Source organism: Homo sapiens, chromosome 19 (assembly GCF_000001405.40).
Source record: "Homo sapiens chromosome 19, GRCh38.p14 Primary Assembly".
In the NCBI taxonomy this organism is placed as follows: Eukaryota; Metazoa; Chordata; class Mammalia; order Primates; family Hominidae; genus Homo; species Homo sapiens.
Genome location: NC_000019.10, coordinates 21,637,644 through 21,660,548, shown reverse-complemented (window position 1 = coordinate 21,660,548; position 22,905 = coordinate 21,637,644). Strand labels below are relative to the sequence as shown.

The window sequence follows — 22,905 nt, the reverse complement described above, 5'->3', positions numbered from 1 at the left end:
CTCTTTTTAAAATTTCTATGTTTTGAAGCAAATTTTATATTTGCCACAGTTTGTGTAAGAATCCAATTTTTTTTTTTTTTTGGTTTTACAAAGAAAAACCATGCTGATTTAATCCTCTCACCCGTGGACAGTGTATGTTTTTATTTATCTTAACTGATCTGAAAGTTATATTGATAACCAAACTCTTCAGTTAAAACCAATTTTTCAGTGCATTAAAAAATACCAACTTTCAGCCGGGTGCAGGGGCTCACGCCTGTAATTCCAGCACTTTGGGAGGCCGAGGCAGGTGGATCACATCAGGTGATCCTGATGTGTAAAACCAGCCTGGCCAACATGGTGAAACCCAGTCTCTACTAAAACTACAAAAAAAAAAAAAAAAAAAAATCAGCCAGGTGTGGTGGCAGGCGCCTGTAATCCCAGCTACTTGGGAGGCTGAGGCAGGATAATTGCTTGAACCTAGAAAGCGGAGGTTGCAGTGAGCCGACATTATGCCACTGCACTCCAGCCTTGGCGACAGAGCGAGACTCTGACGCAAAAAAAAAAAAAAAAAAAAAGGCGAACTTTCTCATCAAAATTTACAAAGTACCATGTGAAATGAAACGGCATTAAGACAACACTGAGAAAACTGAAGCCGTAACACAGAAAAAGGAGAAGGGCTGTGCTGCATACATAGCTGGGATACACATAATAAATACAGACAAATCTGAAGATAATTAAGAAATAAAAGATGCAGAACTTCTCTTTAAATTCAGCAAGATTCAGCATTGCAGCCTGGAAAATATGTCCTCTCCACATGAAGAATCAATCTGAATTCTTCACCACTGATGTTTTCCATCTCTAACTTGAAGTTACAAACTAACTTTAGCAGGAATACTTATGGCTTACTTCGGAGCATCTGTTACAAGGCAAGAACTGTCATGTATGTTTGCTACATTTATTTTTATTTTTTATTTTTTTTTGAGCCGGACTCTCGCTCTGTCGTCCAGGCTGGAGTGCAGTGGCGCGACCTCACCTCACTGCAAGCTCCGCCTCCTGGGTTCACGCCATTCTCTTGCCTCAGCCTCCCCAGTAGCTGGGACTACAGGCGTCCGCCACCACGCCCTGCAAAGTTTTTCTATTTTTTAGCAGAGACGGGGTTTCACCGTGTTAGCCAGGATGGTCTCGATCTCCTGACCTCATGATCCGCCAGCCTCGGCCTCCCAAAGTGCTGGGATTACCGGTGTGAGCCACTGCGCCCGGCCTGCTACATTTAAATATAAAAACATCCTCATGACTTATAAAGCTTCCCTAGTACTTATCTGAACAAATTAACTCAATAAATAAATTTACTTATGCCAATTATAAAAAGTGAAAAGAAAAATAACTAAAGGGCTATAGAGTTCTCCAATTAAAAACAAAATGGAGTGTTCTAACTAAATAAAATGTAACTTAATACACTAATTATGGAATTACATTTAAAATTTTTGTATGCACTACTAAATTTTATAAAATTATTCTTATAAACACAGACAAGCTCACATAATGAATACTTCATAAACTATAAAATATATATATCGAAAAGATACAAAGTAATTAGGGGTCTATCATGAGTACCAGACAAGTATAAACAAAATTTGCATGGGGAGATTCAGAACCAAAAGCCATCGATTGTACAGTAATAAATTCAATACAAAGCAGAGAATATACTTGCTTTCAGCATTTTTAAGGTTTTTAGTTTTCTAGTAGTCATCTTGTTGAAATGATTTGCCTTGTTCAATATTGTCTTCTTCTGAAAATAGTTACAAATTCATACTTACACAAACTCACTTACTCTATAATTTTCTTACACCTAAGGTTTATCTTTAGACTAACATATATTGAACTCTATGTAAATCAAAACTAAACGTCTGCATGTGTTTGTGGGCAGACAGGAAACATGTTCAAAAAATAAATATCAGAAAACTTTAAAAATATTTATTCAGGACTCAGAAATGTATGGATTTTATTCATATTTCTACATAACTTTTATTTTGACCATAAAAATTACACTGTAATCAATAACAATTTAAATGTACATCTTTAAATAACTAAAAGCATACAATTGGATTGTTTGTTATACAAAGGATAAATGCTAAGCCGGGCACGGTGGCTCACACCTGTAATCCCAGCACTTTGGGAGGCCAAGGCAGGCAGATCATGAGTTCAGGAGTTTGAGACCAGCCTGACCAACAAGGTGAAACCCTGTCTCTACTAAAAACACAAAAATTAGCTGGGCATGGTGGTGCATGCCTGTAAACCCAGCTACTCAGGAGGCTGAGGCAGAAGAATCATTTGAACCCAGGAGGTGGAGGTTGCAGTGAGCCAAGCTTGCACCACTACCCTCTAGCCTGGGCAGCACAGCAAGACTCTGTCTCAACAACAAAAAAAAGATAAATACTAGAGGTGATGGATACCTCATTTACCCTGGTGTGATTATTATATAGTGTATTCTTGTATCAAAATATGCCATATATTGCATGAATATATACTCATATTATGTACCCCAAATAATTAAGAAAAATAAATTTAAATAAAATAAAAATTTGGCTGGGCATGGTGACTCACACCTGTAATCCCAGCACTTTGGGAGGCCGAGACGTGTGGATCATTTGAGGTCAGGAGTTTGAGACCAGCTTGACCTGCATAGTGAAACCCTGTCTCTACTAAAATACAAAAATTAGCTGGGTGTGGTGGCGGGTGCCTGTAATCCCAGCTACTTGGGAGATCGAGGCAGAAGAATTGCTTGAACCCAGGAGGCAAGGTTGCAGTGAGCTGAGATTGTGCCACTGCACTCCAGACTGGGTGACAGAGCAAGACTCCCTCTCAAAAAAAATTAAATAAAATAGAAACAAAAATTTAATTTAAAGAAATAATATTGTTTAACTTATTTGCAGTCAAAGCCACTGGCAAAAGTACTAGAGAAGTTAATCCATTATGTTAACAAATAGTATATTATTACCATATTTTATGTACAACCTTGAGTAAGGGGGAATTAATGTTTGTTACATAACACTTCACTGAATGCACAACAGTATTTAAAATGTTAAAGATGTTGAATATATTAACATCACATATAATCTGAAATTTTCAAAATATACTGCATTTTATATAAAAGTATAATTAGTACAATATACTAAATTTTAATTTACTTATGAAATTAAAAATGTTTTCTTCTCATAATACAGAAGAATATGACTGAACACTTAACTCACACATTACTCAATATTATAAGTTAACCACAAAGGTCTCTTCACTTAGATTTTCATCATGCATCTTACATTTTAATGTCCTTACATTTTCATAACAAAGTTTATAAATAATGCTCACCTAATAAAAAAGAATCTCTCATATCTTGGATGCAGCAACAATTCATCACATGCTCTCACATGTAAATAGGAATGAAGAAACAGCAGGAAATAATTTGAGAATTGAATTACATCATTATTCACTTTTCAAAAAATCTATGTTTTCCAAAAGTTAAGCATACTTTGAATGTAATTATAATTCTGCAAAAAATTCTTTTAAACTTATATATGAATAATTTTTCTATCAACTTTAGTTTTAGATTATTTTCTATCATGAGCACTGTGATTTAGTATAATATCTGAAGTGTCAGTGCCTTATATATTTCTACTGTAAATTCTCTGATATTTACATAGACTTAATTTTGTATTAAAATTTCTTTAAATTTTTACTGCATCTGCAAAAATATGTTTTAGTATGAACTCTGTGGTGTTTTCTAAGCTGTAGTTTTTGAAAAAGTATTTTTCCAAATTTATTACATTTGCAGGGTTTTTTTTTCAATATAAATTCCCTGATATTAAACAAAGTTTGAGCAATTGCTTCTGAGGTTTCCTCTAATACAAAATGTGTACAATAAGATCTGTGACACAAGTAAACATATTACAACCCTACTACAATGTTCTTCTTCAAAATAATCTTCTTTACTTTAGAGGCTTCCATTTTCTTAAAGATATTTTGACAGTAGTTGCACTTATAATGTTTTTATTAAGTATGAACTCTCTGATGTTGAGTAAGATGTGAGCATGTATTAATGGCTTTTTCACAGTCTTTATATTTATACAATATTTCTCAAGTATAAATGCTTTCCTGTGAAGTAAGGTGTGAGCACTGGTTAAAAGTTTTGTCACACTGTTCACACATGTAGAAGTTTTCTCCAGTATAACTTATCTTACCTACAATCAAGTGTGACAACCACTTAAAACTTTATCACATTCTTCACATTTCTAGGATTTCTCAACACTATGATTTCTTTTATGTTTAGAAAAGTTTGAGGTGTTTTCAAAAGCACTGTCACATCTTTCTGGTTTATAGAATTTATCTCTAGTATGAATTATCTTATATCTGTTAAGAATTGAGAACTTATTAAAGGCTTTGCCATATTCTTCACACTAACAGGGGTTCTCTCTAGCATGAATTTTTTTATGTTTAGTAAGAGTTGAGGACTAGTTAAAGGCTTTGCCACATTTTTCACATTTGTATGGTTTCTCTCCAGTATGAATTCTCTTATGTGTAGTAGGAGTTGAGGAGTGGTTAAAGACTTTGCCACATTCTTCACATTTGTAGAATTTATCTCCAGTATGACTTATCTTATGGTTCTTAAGGTATGAGAATCTTGCAAAAGCTTTGCCACATTCTTCACATTTGTAGGGCTCCTCTCCAGCATGAGTTATCTTATGGGCAGTTAGGGTTGAGGATTGGTGAAAAGCTTTGCCACATTCTTCACATTTGTAGGGTTTCTCTCCAATATGAATTCTTCTATGTGTAGTGAGGTGTGAACACCGGTTAAAGGCTTTCCCACATTCTTCACATCTGTACGGTTTCTCTCCAGTATGAATTATCTTATGTGTAGTAAGGTGTGAGGACCGTTTAAATTCTTTCTCACATTCTTCACATTTGTAGGATTTCTCTCCAGTATGAATTCTCCTGTGTTCAGTAAGAATTGAGAAGCAGTTGAAGGTTTTGCCACAATCTTCACATTGGTAGGAATTCTCTGTAATATGAAATCTTTTATGTTGAGTTAGGTGTAAAAGCATGCAAAATGATTTTTCACATTTTTTACATTTGAAAGGTTTCTTTCTAGTATGTCTTATCTTATGTCTATTTCAATTTGAAAATGTATGAAAGACTTTTTCATATGGATCACATTGAAATATATTGCTCTTGGTAGTTATCAAACACAGGTTTAGTTTGTTATCTTCTTTGTGTACCTTACACTCATCCACACTTTTATAGCCTTTTTGTAACTGTAAATTGTCATGTCCACATTTTCCATATTTTTTCAGAATCGCTTCTTGAAAAGAATCTTTCATGTCCTGCTCTGCCCAAAGGTCTTGGGCAAAATGAGAACATATAACTGAAAGAAATAAAAATAACAAATTACTTGCTAGACACAGACAAAGTTTTCAAATCTAACTTATTATACAAACTACATAAACAAGATGGCATAGGAAAATACCAAAGGCCCTCATTCCTTTAGACATGTAAATGTAACAAAAACATACCAACCAAATTACATCTGAAAAAAATTTACAAATGAGCTAAGTGTATGAAGTGCCCATGGTGAGAACAACGCAAAGAGCCACCTGGAAGTGAAAGTCTGCTATATTTACCCAACACAGCTCTTTCTGCTCCCCAATATAACATAGTGTCTTTAGAAGTAAATTGCCAACGTTTTAACGACAAGTAAAATACTGGCACATTCATCTTTGTTACTTGCTTCTAGGAGCTTTCCAAAACTGGTTTGTGTCTCTCTTGAAATATAATGCTGAAAGAAATGGTGGTATACTTTGGAGTGACAGTTTAAGTTTGCTGAGACCAAAGGTAAATGTTACAGCACCAGAGAGACTACTGTACCACACAGAGAAAACAGGTGTAGCACGTGACTACTATTAAGAAGAAACATGAATAAATTCCTTTAACTAAAAAATAAAGAACATTTCAGACAAGACACATTCTAAGAACATGTTTGAGAGACTCCCAGAATCTCTAACCAAGACGATTGTTCAGACTATGCCAGGACAAAGCTACATTATAAAGATTGTGACAGGTAGCCTTTTTTAATGTCCAAATTTCAATCAAGGGTTACAATGTATACAAAATAAGGCAATATGTTGAAGCTCAACAAACAAACTAGGAAACACACAAAGATATTTATAACAAACACATATATAAGCACAATTTCAAAAGTCACAGACAAGAAGAGAACCTTGGGAGCTGCAAGATAAAAGTGATGCGTCATTTGCAAGCATAGTCTTATGAGACAGCCAGTGAATTGTCAACAAAAATTTTGCAGACCAGAAGGGAAATGTGTGATAAAGTCAAACTCCTGAAAAATACAGCGATCAAGACAGCATAATACCATCAGCAAATCTGTCCTGCCAAATAAAAAGAAAAAAACTTTCAAAAATAACAAAATTCTGAAAAGTATATTGGAACTCCATAAACCCTACATATAAAAAGTGCTGAAAGCAGTTGCTTCTTCTGAAAATAACATAATTCAACAAAAGCAACACATAATCATATAAAACTACATTTATTTTCTGGGAAAGATTATATGCACATATATATTTTTACTTCTAAGTATATGCACATACACCAAAATGGAATTTCTTTGCATTATAATAATGGTGCAGAAAACATTTTTAATTATTATCTGAAAGTTGAAAGAGAAAATCACAGAAATCATTATAAACATCTGTTAATAAATATACAACATAAAAAGATATAATTAGCAAAATCAATGACAAATTTGAGGGAAGATGTAATGAGAAAAAAATTGTGCATGCAAATGAAGTTCCTTTTTACCAGATTGAAATATACTGTTTTATCTTTTAGAGGTTTATGTAATCCCCAAGGTACCTCAAAGAACATATGTGTATAGATGCACAAAACAAATTAAGAAATAAGTAAAAGAAACATATCAATATAAAACTAAAAAGACACAAAGACAAAGAGAAAATGAGTGACCAAGATATAAGAATCAAATAAAACAATAAAATAACATTAGTATGTCTTCCTGTTTCAGAAAATTATTTAAATATATATCTTTAACTTTGCAATCAAGAAACATACTTTTAATAAAGAGATTTATTTAAATATTTTAAAAACTGAGATCCAATTTGCCTTTCTACAAGAGTAAGCTGAGATCTACTGATAAAAAAAACTGAAAGTGGCAAGATGGATATACATATTGCAAGTAAATATTAACCAAATGAGAGAAGAGGTCAAAATAATATGACATAAGCTATATCTTAAGTGAAAAACTTTCATATTTTATAAAATGTACTAAAAGTCAAAATTGCAAAGAGACAAAAGACATTAAAAAATAATAGATTCATTTACTGATAACCTAAGTCAAATGTATGTGTGTGTGTGTGTGTGTGTGTATCTCACATTAAGTTTCCAAATATATAAAGCAAACATTGACAGAATGGAAGAAACACCTAGACAGCAATATAATTATAGTAGGACATTTCCATACCCTACTTTCCATAATAAAAATAAAACAAAACAGAATATTTGTTAGTGAAGAGAGGACTTGAAGGCAGTATAAAACAATTATTTCTAACAGATATATAGAGAAGACTCCTCAACAATATCAGGATACACATGCTTCTCAATTGCTCATACAACATTCTCCTTGGTAGACCATATGTTAGGCCAAAAAGGAAGTCTTAATGCATTTGCTAAGACTGAAATTGTATGGATTATATGAACAAAATGGAATGAGTATAAAACAATAATAGAAAAAGAACTAAAAATTCACAAATACATGGAAATTAAACAACACACTCTTGAGCATGCTCCTGTTTAAAGGTAGAAATAATTGATATTTTGAAAACATCCATACTTCTCAATGTAATCTACAGATTTAATGCAATGTTTTAAAAAATTTCTCATTGCATTTTTGAGGAAATAGAAACAACTCCAAAAATATATAAAATGTCAAGAGACAATAAAGTACCCAAGAGTCTTCAAAAAAAGAAAATGAAGGCATTATAGTTCCTGATTTCAAAACACATTACAAAGCTACAGAATTAAAACAATTTGGTATGAGTATAATGGGTAAAAAGTAGGCTAATAAAATAGAATGCAGCACCTATATAAAGTTTCACATATATGGTCATATGAAGAGTTATTTTCATACCCATAATTATTGCAGCATTTTTACTGAAAGCCAATAAGTAAAAGCAATGCAAATTTCTTTCTATTGTTTTTGTTTGTTTGTTTGTTTTGAGACTGAGTCTTGCACTGTTGCACAGGCTGGAGTGCAGTGACACTTGGCTCACTGCAACCTCCACCTCCCAGGTTCAAGCAATTCTCCTGCCTCAGCCTCCCAAGTAGCTGGGAAAACAGGTGTGTGCCACCATGCCCAGCTAATTTTTTGTATTTTTAGTAGAGACGGGGTTTCACCATGTTGGCCTGGATGGTCTCGATCTATTGACTTGTTATCTTCCTGCCTCAGCCTCTCAAAGTGCTGGGATTACAGATGTGAGCCACTGCGCCCGGCAGCAATGCAACTTTCTGTCACCAAATTATCCAATACATATAATTTGTGACATAAAAATACTGGAATATCACCCAGGATTTAAAAAGCAGGAAATAGTCTAACAACTCTAAAAATAAAGCTTGATGACATTATGCAAAATAAAATGAGCTAGCCACAATGAGACAGAGATTGTATAAGACATATGAGGCAGTTACACTCTTAGAAAAAGAAAACAAAGTGGTGTTTGCAAAGTGCCAGAAAATCAGAAAAATTGGTTGTTGTTTAATGTACACTGAGATTTAGATTTGCAAGATAAAAACATTCTAGGTGTATGTTGCGTAATATTATCACTATAATTAATATGACTAAACAGATTATTTAAAAATATTTGATAATGGGCCAGGTGTGATGACTCACACCTGTAATCCCAGCACTTTGGGAGGCCAGGTGGGTGGATCACGAGGTCAGGAGTTGGATACCAGCCTGGCCAACACGGTGAAACCCCATCTCTACTAACAATACAAAAATTAGCAGGGTGTGGTGTCGCATGCCTGTAATCCCAGCTACTCAGGAGGCTGAGGCAAAAGAATCGCTTGAACCCAGGAGACGGAGGTTGCAGTGAGCCAAGATGCCACAACTGCACCCCAGCCTGGGCAACAGAGATGCTGTCTCAAGAAAAAAAAAAAGATAATATTTTATGTGTTTTTGACAAGTAAAAATGAACAATATATAAAGATATAATAGTTTCAATTTTATCTTCAAATCCCAAAGTATTTCTCCCACACAGAAGTAATGTAGATTCACAACAGATACTGAAATTAGGAGAATTTTATAACTGGTCACCTAGCCAAGACTAAACGACCATTCAAAACAAACCTACAAAACAAATATACAAGTGATAAAATAAACAGAGATGACATTTATAGAGGTAAACAAACACAGAGGTAATTATATTGGCAGTAGACTTCTGGCTGATTTATATTGATTTTGCTAGACTGTCTTAAATTGCACAGAGTTAAACACTGTCATACACAATTATAATATAAAATAAAACACCAAAACACAAGTAAATGGTGTGAAGTGGCATACCTTAAAATATATAACACAAAAATATAACATTGCAAAACAAAATTAAAATATGGAATGTAAAATGTATTGGACACCATCAAGTAGATCAATATATTCATGAAAGGAATCTTAGAAGAATATAGGGAAAAAGTAATACAGAGCTTATTTGAAGACAAAAAAGACTGAGAACTTCCCAAATTTTGATGTTATAAAAGAATTTCTAACTAATACTTAATTCAAAATTATTTTACTTCAAAAACAAGATAAAAATAAAGACTTTCCAAAATAAAAGTTCAGGGCATTTATTACAACTACCAGAGTCCTACATAAAATGTTAAATGGTAGCCAGGCACAGTGGCTCAGGCCTGTAATTCTACAGCTTTAGGAAGACAAGGTAGATAGATCACTTGAGACCAGTAGTTCAAGATCAGCCAGAGAAACATAGTGAGACTCTGCATACAAACAAAAAGAAATGCTAAAATGAGTCCATTATGTTGAAAAACAAAATGATACTAGACAGCATCATAAAACATATATAAATATGAAGTTCTCTATTAAATGTAAATACAGACACATATAGAATTTTTTACTATCAAAATGATGCTGCATAAAACCCTTAAAGTTCTTCTACAGATATAAAAAACAAGATATAAATCTGTATAAATCTGTTAATAGATACATGATGTAAGATAATATGGTTTTTAATATTAATAACAAACTGGAAAATATAACAGTATAAGTTTTGTATTTAATTGAAGTGTGATGAGATTAAAATACATAGTTTTAACTTTAAGATGTTTTATGTAATCTGTTCTTCAATATGGTTACATTGTATTTCAAGATTACATTATACTTATGGAAAGTATGCAAAACAAAATAAAAAATAAAGCATGTCACAATAAAATTAAAACAAAAATTAAGGCAGTAAAACAAGAAATGAGAAAAGACATATCTACAAGAAACACATAAAAGTGTAACAATGAAGTGGTTTCTGCAGATCAGCAGACTTAGTCTTTCCCCCTGCTGGCTCTGAAAAATCTGGGCAGTCCAGATGTATGGAATTTCTCCCAGTGAAGCACACCCCCTTCACCAAGAAGCAGCCAGAGTGCCTTGTTAAGTGGTTCCTGAATCCTGTGCATCCTGACTGAGTGAGGACCACCCCCCCAACAGGCATTGTAAGACAACTTATAAAGAAGTATTCCCACTGTCATCAGCTCAGTGCCCATCTGGGAAAAAGCTTACAGATGAAGGAGCAGGCAGTTCTCTCTGCTGTTCTACACACTCCACTGGTGACACCTCCAGGTGTGGGAGAAACCCAGGCAAATAGGATCTGAAGTGGATCCCAAGCAAATCACAGCGGCCCTACAGAAGAGGGGCCTGACTGTTAAAAGAAAAACAGAAAGCAACCACAGCAGCATCAACAAAAATGTCCCCACAAAAACCCCATCCAAACGTCAGCAGCCTCAAAGACCAAAGCTAGATAAACTCATGATGATGAGAATAATCAATAAAAAAATGTTCAAAACTCAAAAAGCCAGAGTGTCTCTACTCCTCCAAATAATCAAAACATGTCTCCAGCAAGAGGACAGAACTGGGATCAGGCTGAGATGGATAAATTGAGAGAAGTAGGCTTCAGAAGGTGGGTAATAATCAGCTTCGGTGAGGTAATGAAGCATGTTCTAAGCCAATGCAAAGAAGCTAAGAACCACGAAAAACATTACAGGAGCTGTTAACCCGAATAACCAGTTTAGAGAGGAACATAAATGACCTGATGCAACTGAATAACACAACATGAGAACTTCACAATGTAATCACAAGTATCAATAACTGAGTAGATCAAGCAGGGAGAAGAATTTCAGAGCTTGAAGGCTATCTTGCTGAAATAAGGCAGATAAGATTGAAAAAATAAAAATAAAAAGGAATGAAAAAATCTCTGAGAACTGTTGGATTATGTAAAAAGACCACTTACAACTGATTGCAGTACTCTAAAGAGATGGAAAGAATGTAACCAAGTTGGAAAACATACTTCAGGATATCATCCAGAAGAACTTTTCCAACCTAAAAAGACAGGCCAACATTCAAATTCAGAAAATCCAGAGAACCCCAGTAAGATACTCCATGAGAAGATCAACCTCAAGACACATAATTATCAGATTCTTCAAGGTTAGACTTCAGGAAAAAATGGTAAGAGCAGCCAAAGGGAAGGCCAGGTCACCTACTATAAAATGGACCTCTAAGAAGACACCCTACAAGCCAGGGTGTCAATTGGGGGCCAATATTCAGCATTCTTAAAAGAATGAATTTCTAACCCAGAATACCCAGTAAAAGTAAGCTTCATAAGTGAAGGAGAAATGAAATCATTTTCAGACAAACAAATGCTGAAGGAATTCATCACCACTAGACCTGCCTTGCAAGAGCTCCTGAAAGAAGCACTAAATATGAAAAGAAGAAACCACTACCAGCAAATGCAAAACACACTGAAGTACAAAGACCAATGACATCATGAAACAACTACATCAACAAGTCTGCAAAATAACCAGCTAGCACCATGAGAACAGGATCAAATTCACACATAACAATATTAACCTTAAATTTAAATGGGCTAAATGCCCCAATTAAAAGACACAGAATGGCAAGCTGGTTAGAGTCAAGACCCACTGGTGTGCTGTATTCAAGAGACCCATCTCACATGCAAAGACACCCATAGCCTCAAAATAAAGAAAGGGAGAACAATTTACAAAGCAAATAAAAGCAGAAAAAAGCAGGGGTTGCAATAGTAGTTTCTGACAAAACAGACTTTAAACCAATAAAGATCAAAAAAGACAAGGAAGGACACTACATAATGGTAAAGGGATCAATTCAAGGAGCACTAAGATTTGTTTTCATTTATTGATTTATTTTTTGAGATGGAATTTCACTCTGTCACCCACACTAGAGGTCAATGGCACAATCTTGGCTCACTGCAAACTCCACTTCGCAGGTTCAAGCAATTCTCCTGCCTCAGCTTCCTGAATAGCTGGGATTACAGGTGCCCATGACTATGCCCAGCTAATTTTTGTATTTTTAATAGAGACAGCATTTCACCATGTTGGCTAGGCTGGTCTCAAACTCCTGACCTCAGGGCATCTGCCTGCCTTGGCCTCCCAAAGTGCTGACATTACAGGTATGAGCCACCACACCCAGCCAGCACCCAGATTTATAAAACATAGATACCTACGAAGAGACTTAGACTCCCAAACAATGACAGTGGGAAACTTTAACACCCCACTGCCAATATTAGACAGATCATTGGGAAAGAAAAATAACAAGGATATTCAGGACTTAACTCAGCTGTAGGTCAAGTGGACCTGATAGATATTTACAGAACTCACCAGCCAAAAACAACACAATACACATTCTTCTAATTGCCACATTGCACTTACTCTAAAATTGATTATATAATTGGAAGTAAAACACTCCTTAGCAGATTCCAAAGAACTGAAATCATAACAGTTTCTCAGACCACAGTGCAATCAAATTAGAACTCAAGAGAAAGAAACTCACTCAAAACCATACGACTGCATGGAAACTAACTCAAAACTACACAATTGCATGGAAAACATACTCCTGAATAACTTCTGAGTAAATAATTGTCAGAAATCAAAAAATTATTTGAAACCAAATTCTCTGGAATGCAGCTAAAGCAGTGTTAAGGGGGGTAAAATAGCACTAAATACCCACATCAAAAAGCTAGAAAGACCTCAAATTGACACCCTAACATCACAACTAAAAGAAAAAGAGAACCAAGAGCAAACAAACCCCAAAGCCAGCAGAAGACAAAAAATAACCAGGATCAGAGTGGAACCATAGGAGACAGAGACACAAAAAAACCTTTCAAAAAAATCAATGAATCCAGGAGCTGTTTAAAAAATAAAATAAAATAGACCACTAGCTAGATTAATAAAGAAAAGAGAAGAAAGAAATAGACACAGTAAAAAACGATAAAGCAGGTATCAGCACTGACCTTATAGAAATACAATCATCAGGGCTGGGTGTGGTGGATCATGCCTGTAATCCCAGCACTTTGGGAGGCCGAGGTGGGTGGATCACCTGAGGTCAGGAGTTCTAGACCAGCCTGGCCAACAAAGTGAAACCCCGCCTCCACTAAAAATACAAAAAAAAAAAAAAAATTTGCCGGGTGTGGTGGCAGGCACCTGTAATCCCAGCTACTCGGGGGGCCAAGGAAGGACAATCACTTGAACCCAGGAGGCAGAGGTTGCAGTGAACTGAGATTGTGCCATCATACTCCAGCCTGGGGGCCAAGAGTGAGACTTTGTGTCAAAAAAAAAATTAAAAATACAATCATCAGAAAATACTATAAACACCTCTATGCACATAAACTGGAAAATCTAGAAGAAATGGATAAATTACTGGACACATATACCCTCCCAAGACTGAACCAGGAAGAAGTTGAATCCCTGAATAGACCAACAACAGGTTCTGAAATTGAGACAGTAATAAATAGGCTACCAAACAAAAAAAAGCCCAGAACCAGACGGATTTACAGCTGAATTCTACCAGAGGTACAAAGAAGGGCTGGTACCATTTCTTCTGAAACTATTTAAATGAAAGAAAAGGAGAAACTCCTCCTTAACTCATTTTATAAGATCAGTATCATTCTGATACCCAACCTGGCAGAGATATAAAAACAACAACAACAAAACCTTAAAACCAACATCTCTGATAAACATCAATGCAGGCCAGGCACATTGGCTCTCGCCTGTAATGCCAGCACTTTGGGAGGCCAACGAGGGCAGATTAGCTGAGGTTAGGACCATCCTAACCAACATGGTGAAACCCCATCTCTGCTAAAAATACAAAAATTAGCCAGGTGTAGTGCTGCAAGCCTGTGATCCCAGCTACTCAGGAAACTGACTCAGGAGAATCACTTGGACCTGGGAGGTGGAGGTTGCAGTGAGCGGAGATTGTGCCACTGCAGTCCAGCCTGGGTGATAGAGTGACACTATGTCAAAAAAAAAGAAAGAAAGAAAGAAAAATTGATGGAGAATGAGAAAACTATTTTAAAATTAATATGGAACCCAAAAAGGCCCCATATAGCCAAGACAATCTTAGGCAAAAAGAACAAAGCTGGAGGCATCAGCTATCCAACTTCAAACTATACTACAAGGCTGTAGTAACCAAAACAGCCTGGCACTGGTAAAAACAGACACATAGACCCATGAAACAGAATAGAGAACTCAGAAATAAGACTGTATATCTACAACTGCCTGATCTTTGAAAAACCTGACAAAAACAAGCAATAAGGAAAGAACTCCCTATTTAACAAATGGTTCTGGGAGAACTGGCTAGCCATATGCAGAGAATGGAAACAGGACATGGTAAGAAAAAGAGCAAGTGTGAGGTGAAAAAGCCAGGTTCAGGCCAGGCACCGTGGCTCACACCTGTAATCCCAGAACTTTGGGAAGTCGATGAAGTCAGGAGTTCGAAATCAGCCTGACCAACATGGTGAAATCCCATCTCTAATAACAAACTACAAAAATTAGCTGGGCATGGTGATGAGTGCCTATAATCCCAGCTACTTGGGAGGCTGAGGCAGGAGAATCACTTGAACCAGGGAGGCAGAGGTTGCAGTGAGCTGTGATTGTGCCATTGCACTGCAGCCTAGAGTACAGAGTGAAACTCCATCACAAAAAAGAGAAAAAGCCAGGTTCTTTTAAGGAAGCAGCTCTCATTTGAATTAATGGAGTGTAAACTTTCTGATTATCAAAAGAATAGTGCCAAGGCATTTATGAGAAATTTGCCCCCCATGATATAAACACCTCCCCACCAGCTTCTACATCCAACATTGAGGATTACATTACAGCATGAGGTTTGCAGAACATGGACATCCAAACCATACCACAGACAAACTAGGCTTAAGAGACATGTACAAAACTTTTTAGTTAAAAGCAAAATAATACACAATATTCTTATTTGCACCTGATGTATTCTGTTAGAACACATAACAAGTCTTATTACAGAATACCAGCTGGGTGTAGTGGCTGATATGTATAATTTCAACAATTTGGAAGACAAAAGTGAGAGGATCCCTTGGGACCACAAGTATAAGACCAGTGTCAGTAATATAGTGAGACCCTGTCCCTAGAAATAATCAAAAAATTAGCCAGGCATGGCAGTGCATGTCAATAGTCTCAGCTACTCAGGAGGCTGAGGTGTAAAGATCACTTGAGTCAAGGAGGCTGAGGTTGCAGTGAGCCAAAATTATGACACTATACTCCAGCCTGGGTGACGGAGTATGATCCTGTCTGAAAACAACAACAAATAAATTTAAGAAGACCAAAATCATGCACTGCATGGTATCTGACCAAAACTGAATAAAACTAGGAATTAAAGGCTGGGCGCAGTGGCTCACATCTGTAATCCCAGCACTTCGGGAGGCCGAGGCAGGCGGATCACCTGAGATCAGGAGTTCAAGACCAGCCTCAACATGGAGAAATCGTGTCTCTACTAAAAATACAAAATTAGCCGGGCGTTATGGTGCTTGCCTGTAATCCCAGCTACTTGGGAAGCTGAGGCAGGAGAATTGCTTGAACCTGGGAGGCAGAGGTTGTGGTGAGCGCAGACCACACCATTGCAATCCAGCCTGGGCAACAAGAGCAAAACTCTGTCTCAAAAAAAAAAAAAAAAAAAAAAAACCTAGGAATTAAAAGCAAAAGTAAAGCTGGAAAATCCAACAATATCTAAAAATAAAACACATGGGCCGAGTGCAATGGCTCACACCTGTAATACTACCATTTTGGGTGACTGAGGCAAGAGAACTGCTTGAGCCCAGGAGCTGGAAACTAGCCAAGGAACCATAGGAAGACTGTCTCTAATAAATAAAATTAAATTAAATTAAAATAAAACACATTCCTGCTCAAGGGTCAAAAATTTTAATTTTGTTAAGATGCCAATATAACCTACAGAGGTGAACAAATTCAATGAAATCTCTATAAAAATCTAAATAGCAGTTATTACAGAAATATTCTTTAAAATTTTTAAATGTGATTGTGAACTATAACTAACCAAACACCCATGAAAAGAACAAACAGGCATTATACTTCCCGATTTTAAAACATTAAAAGCTACAATAACAAAAACAGTATGGTACTGATACAAAGACAGATAAACAGATGAAAGAGCAGAATAGAGAGTTCAGAAATGAACCCTTGTGTATATGATTAAATGATCTTCCACAAAGCTGCCATGAACATACAATAGAGAAAAGATAATCTTTTCAATAATGTTAAAAACCAAATATCAACACTGATAAAGTTGGATAATTTCCTTGAACCATATATAAAAAATGTTTTCAATAAAATACTTACACTCATAAAAAACTAACAAATCTCTTGAACAAAATAGAAAAAAGTCATGACATGGGTCTTGGCACCATTTTCTTAGATACAACATTAAATGCATGAGCAGCAACAAAAAAACAGAAAGATTTACTCTATACTTCAAAATTTCTCCACATTAGAAACTAAAAACATTCAATTGAATGAAAATGCCTCATAGGAAATGGGGGAAATATTTGCAAGTCACATGTGATAAGAGTTAATATTTGGGCCAGGTGCAGTGGTTCAATCCCAGCACTTTGGAAGGCCGAGGTGGAGAAGGCTGAGCTCAGGAGTTCAAGACCAGCCTGACCAACGTGGTGAAACCCCATTTCGACTAAAAATACAATATTAGCTAGGCATGGTGGCGCATGCTTGTAATCCCAGATACTTGGGAGGCCGAGGCAGGTGAATCACTTAAAATGGGGAGGCGGAGGTTGCATCAAGCTGAGGTCACACCATTGCACTCAGACTAGGCAACAAGAGCAAAACTCCATCTAAAAAAAAAAAAAAAAAATGGAATATAGAGACAACTCTTAAAACTGAACAATAAATTTGAATAACTTGATTTAGAAATGAACAAATAATTGAACTAAAAGATACACAAGGTCGTGTGCAGGGCCTCATGCCTGTAATCCCAGCACTTTGGGAGGCCAAGGCGGGTGGATCACCTGAGGTCAGGAGTCCGAGACCAGCCTGGCCAAGGTGGTGAAACCCTGTCTCGACTAAAAATACAAAATTAGATGGGCGTGGTGGCTCATGCCTGTAATCCAGCTGCTCAGGAGGCTGAGATAGGAGAATCATTTGAACCTGGGAGATGGAGGTTTCAGGGAGCTGAGGCCGCGCCATTGTACTCCAGCCCAGGTGATAAGAGTAAAACTCTGTCTCAAAAAAAAAAAAAAGATACACAAATGGGGAAAACCATTTGAAATGGCACATAAAATTAACAATTTGTAGAGAAACATGTAAAAATAAAAATGAAAAAAATGAAATCACCTCACATCCATTACAATGGCTGCTATAAATTTTTTAGACACCAAATCTGTTGATGATGCAATGAAAATGAAACCTCTGTTGATTGTTGGTAGAAAACAAAGATGCAGTCATTATTTTAAAATGTTACGTTTCTCAATTAAAAATAATTATTATTAAATTCAGCAATTCCATTAATCTATATTCAAAATATGCAACAAAAGACCTAGAAGACATATTTGAACATCTATGATTATTGTACCAGTACTCACAAAAGTCAAAAGGCTGAGGCAACCCGGGTTTCTCTAGATTTATGAACACATCAAAAATGTAACCTATACATAAAATGGAATATTATTAGGTCTTTTTTTTTTTTTCCAAGAAGGAGTCTCGCTCTGTCACCCAGGCTGGAGTGCAGTGGTGCGATCCCGGCTCACTGCAGGCTCTGCCCCCCTGGTTCATGCCATTTTCCTGCCTCAGCCTCCCGAGTATCTGGGACTACAGGCGAGAGCCACCTCGCCCAGCTAATTTTTTGTACTTTTAGTAGAGACTGGGTTTCACCGTGTTAGCCAGGATGGTCTCGATCTCCTGATCTCATGATCTGCCCGCCTCAGCCTCCCAAACTGCTGGGATTACAGGCGTGAGCCACCACACCTGGCCTATTCAGTCTTAAAGAAGAAAATCTTGTCACATTTTAAGATAAACTTTGAGAATATTACATCGCCTGACATAAGCCAGAAACAAAATGATGGACACTGTATGATTCTACTTATATGAGATATCTTAAATAGTCACATTTAGAATAACAGAAAGTGGAAGGGTGTTTGCCAAAGGCTGGGGAGAGGGTAAAATGGGTTGTTGTTACTTAATGGGTGTTTAGTTTTAGTTTCACAAGATGTAAAATTTCTAGAAGTTTTTTGCATAAGAATGTGAATATACTTAACATGGCTAAAATGCAATTATTTTTATTATTATTATTTTTTGAGATGGTGTTTCACTCTTACCCAGGCTGGAGTGCAATGGGGCAATCTCAGCTCACTGCAACCTCTGGCTCCTGGGTTCAAGCAATTCTCCTGCCTCAGCCTCCCGAGTAGCTGGGATTACAGGCACCTGTCATAGGCCCAGCTAATTCTTGTATTTTTAGTAGAGATGGGGTTTCACCATGTTGGTCAGGCTGGTCTTGAACTCCTGACCTCAGGTGGTCTGCCCACCTCAGCCTCCCAAAGTGCTGGGATTACAGGAATGAGCCACCGTGCCTGGGCTGTAAAACTTTTTTTTTTTTTTTTTGAGACATTATCACTCTGTCACCCAAGCTGGAGTGCAGTGGCACAATTATGGCTCACTTCAGCCTCAAACTTTCAGGCTCAAGTAATTCTCTTCTCTTCATTTCCCAAGTAGCTGAAACCACTTGTGCATACCACCATGCCTGGCAATTTTTTAAATAATTTTGTGGAGAGGGAATCTCCCTGTATTACCCTGGCTGATTTCAAACTTTTGGGCTCAAGTGATCCTCCTTTCTTGACCTCCCGAAATCCTGGGATTACAGTTGTGAGGCACCACCAGGTCTAGCCCTGAAATGTACACTTAAAGAAATTTAAGATGGTAGGCTGGGATCGGTGGCCCATGCTGTAATGCCAGCACTTTGGGAGGCCGAGTTGGAAGGATCACTTGAGGTCAGGAATTCAAGACTAGCTTGGCGAACATGGTGAAACCCTGTCTCTCCTAAAAATACAAAAAATTAGCCAGGCATGGTGGTGGGTGCCTGTAATCCCAGCTACTCAGGAGGCTGAGGCAGGAGAATTGCTTGAACCCAGGAAGAGGAGGTTGCAGTGAGCCGAGATTGCGCTACTGCACTCCAGCCTGGGTGACAGAGGGAGCCTCTGTCTCAAAAAAGAAAAAAAAAAGATTTAAGATGGTAAATTTTATGTTATGTGTTTTTACAACCATTAATTTTCCTTTTTTTTTTTTTTTTTGGAGACAGAGCATCACTTGAACCTGGGAGGCGGAGGTTGCTGTGAGCCAAGATCATGACACTGCACTCCAGCTTGGGCAACAAGAGCAAAATGCTGTCTCAAAAAAAAAACAAAAAAACAAAACAAAACAAAAAAAACAACTTGAAGAAGTGTTTGCTCTATCAAATTCACAGACACCAATGCAAAACTATATTGTGCCTATTGTCAATGCTTCTATTTTTACGTAGGACTGGAAGTAAGTGGCAGAATCATGAGTCAAAAACATTTTTGAAAAGCCACTGAAATTGAAGACAAATAAGTAAAAAGTTACTGTTTGTGGATCATATGATCTTATATATAAAAAAACCATAAACACTGCACTGAAATTTGTCTATACTAATAAATACACTCAGTAAATTAGCAAAATATAAAATTAACATACAAGTATAAGTTATTGTTCCATACACTTAAACCATCTGATACAATAAAGAAAATAATCTTATTTACAATAGCATTAAAATAATAAATTTCTGAGAGCAAATTTAACCAAGAAGGTAAAAAATCTTTACAATAAAAGATATAAGATAGGCCAGGCATGGTGGCTTATGCTTGTTATTTCAGCACTTTGGGAGGCTAAGGGGGGCAGATCACAAGGTCAAGAGATCAAGACCATCCTGGCCAACATGGTGAAACTCCGTCTCTTCTAAAAATACAAAACATTAGCTTGGTGTGGTGACATGCGCCCGTAGTCCCAGCTACTCAGGAGGCTGAGGCAGGAAGATTGCTTGAACCCAGGAGGCAGAGGTTGCAGTGAGCCAAGATTGCACCACTGCACTCCAACCTGGCAAAAGAGTGAGACTCCTTCTCAAAAAACAAAACAAAACAAAAAAGATGTAAGATACCAATGAAATAAATTATTGAAGAGACAAATTTTAAAATATTTCATGTCCATGGATTGAAAGAATAAATATTGTTAAAGTGTCATATTATCTAAAGTAATCTACAGATTCAAAAAACTTCCTATTAAAATTCCAGTGGCATTTTTTTCACAGTAATAAAAAATACAATTCTAAAATTTACAAGAAACTGCAATAAACTTCGAAAAGCCCAAGCAATCTTGAGGCAAAAGAACAAACCAGAGGGGTATTATACTTTATAATTTAACTCTATTTCAAGAATATAGTAATTAAAAACAGATGAAATGTGCAGAAAGATTAACAAACAAAACAATGGAACAGAAACCTCTACTTTCACACATTTCAGACATGATGAAAAAGGAAAACTAAAAAATAGTTTAACATAGAGTTTCCCAAAATTATGCTGATATCTGTGTGTCCCCCCAAATAATGGAAAAGCAGGGAGATTGTACAGTCTTTTACATGCCATGAAAAGGACTTTGGCTCTCACTGTACACTTGAAGGAAGATCACCAAAGGGAAAGCAGAATCTTTAAAGAATTTAAAAGCATAAGAGAGAAGATGCCCCTATGTCACAGCAAAAAATACTCCCAAAAAACAAAAAAGCTCACACATCCCAGAAACTATTTCCTTTGGAACACAGCTTCCCAAATCACATTTTAAGGACCAGCTTTCTTTTTGACATTTGGACCTCTCATCTGTGTCATCTGTTGTGTTCACTCTCACCTACCTGGGGATTTGGCTACCATCTGTCTCTTTATATTCTCGGGCTCTTTTCCTTGCTCCAGACAGTGACCAGGTCTGGCTTAGTGACAGCAATACCTGCTTTATTAGAAATGAATAACTTGAATCTTTCTCTTATTCTCCAATTACCAACCTAGTAGTATGCTTAGTAAAGAGGAGGTAATAGAATATTCCCAAAATTAATCTCAAAATACTAATGAAATTTCTAAATGTTTAGAAAATATTTTAAATTTGTAGGTCCTTAATTTCACTACCCGGTACTCATGATGCTGATGAATAGATTTTAAAATACGGGCAACTATATATAAATACTTTTTTTTTTGGGGCGGAGTGGGACAGAGTTTTGCTCTGTTGCCCAGGCTGGAGTGCAGTGGCACGATCTCGGGTCACTACAACCTCTGCCTCCTGGGTTCAAATGAATTCTCCAGCCTCAGTCTCATGAGTAGCTGGGACTACAGGCATGTGCCACCATGCCCGGCTAATTTTTGTATTTTTAGTAGAGACAAGGTTTCACTTTGTTGGCCAGGCTGGTCTCAAACTCCTGACCTCGTGGTCTGCCCACCTTGGCCTCCCAAAGTGCTGGGATTACAGGAGTGAGCCACCGTGCCTGGCCTAAAAACATGGGCAACAATATTTTATGCCACTACATTTCTGGAATTACCACTAATCTAGAGTGAAGGATACAGACCAGCTCAGGAATGTGGAAAGTTCAGGTCAAGATGAGACATCTTGAATACCTTCTTTTCCACACAGACAAAGTCTCAAGATTTTTTTGAAAAAATGGATCAGAAACTCATTTATGCAAAGCGTAAATTACCAAAAATCATTCCACAAAAAAAGAGAAAGGAAACCTTTAGGGTATATTAGAAATTGTGTATTAAAGTTATTCTCACCCAAGAAGACCAGGTTTCTGTAGTTCTCTAACATCACTTTCCTATACAAACCCTGCTGAGCACTGTCCAGGCATTGCCACTCCTCCAGAGAGAATTCTATGGCCACATCCCTAAATGACAATGGCTCCTGAAAAACGCAAGCACACAGACACACATATATTTACCAAATGGTCATGAGCAGAATTTATCATTTGAATTAAAATAAAATGACAGAGTAAAGAGAATTGGTTCTGATTAATAGAAATGACTGAAATTCTCCAATAATTTTTAACACAGAAATATTCTCTAAAATATTCTCTAACTCTGAGAGAAGAGAATAGCATAAGGCCCACAACACCAATATACATATGACACTTTTCTAGATAATAAAGTATAAAATTAAGAGCATATAGGCAGTAGGAATAAAATAGCCACAGGTAATAAGCAACTGCTGGTCACCTGTTGCCCACCTTTC

The 22,905-nt window shown here is 36.6% G+C and overlaps 1 pseudogene across 1 annotated transcript; it reads right to left on the bottom strand.

Moving 5' to 3' along the window:
* Positions 1–1,940: 1,940 nt before the first annotated feature.
* Positions 1,941–10,881, bottom strand: LOC400682 (zinc finger protein 100-like; annotated as a pseudogene). The gene is made up of 2 exons (NR_144514.1): positions 10,841–10,881; positions 1,941–5,395 (listed from the first exon to the last, which is right to left on the bottom strand). The product of NR_144514.1 is annotated as a zinc finger protein 100-like (transcript).
* Between the last annotated feature and the right edge of the window lie 12,024 nt (positions 10,882–22,905).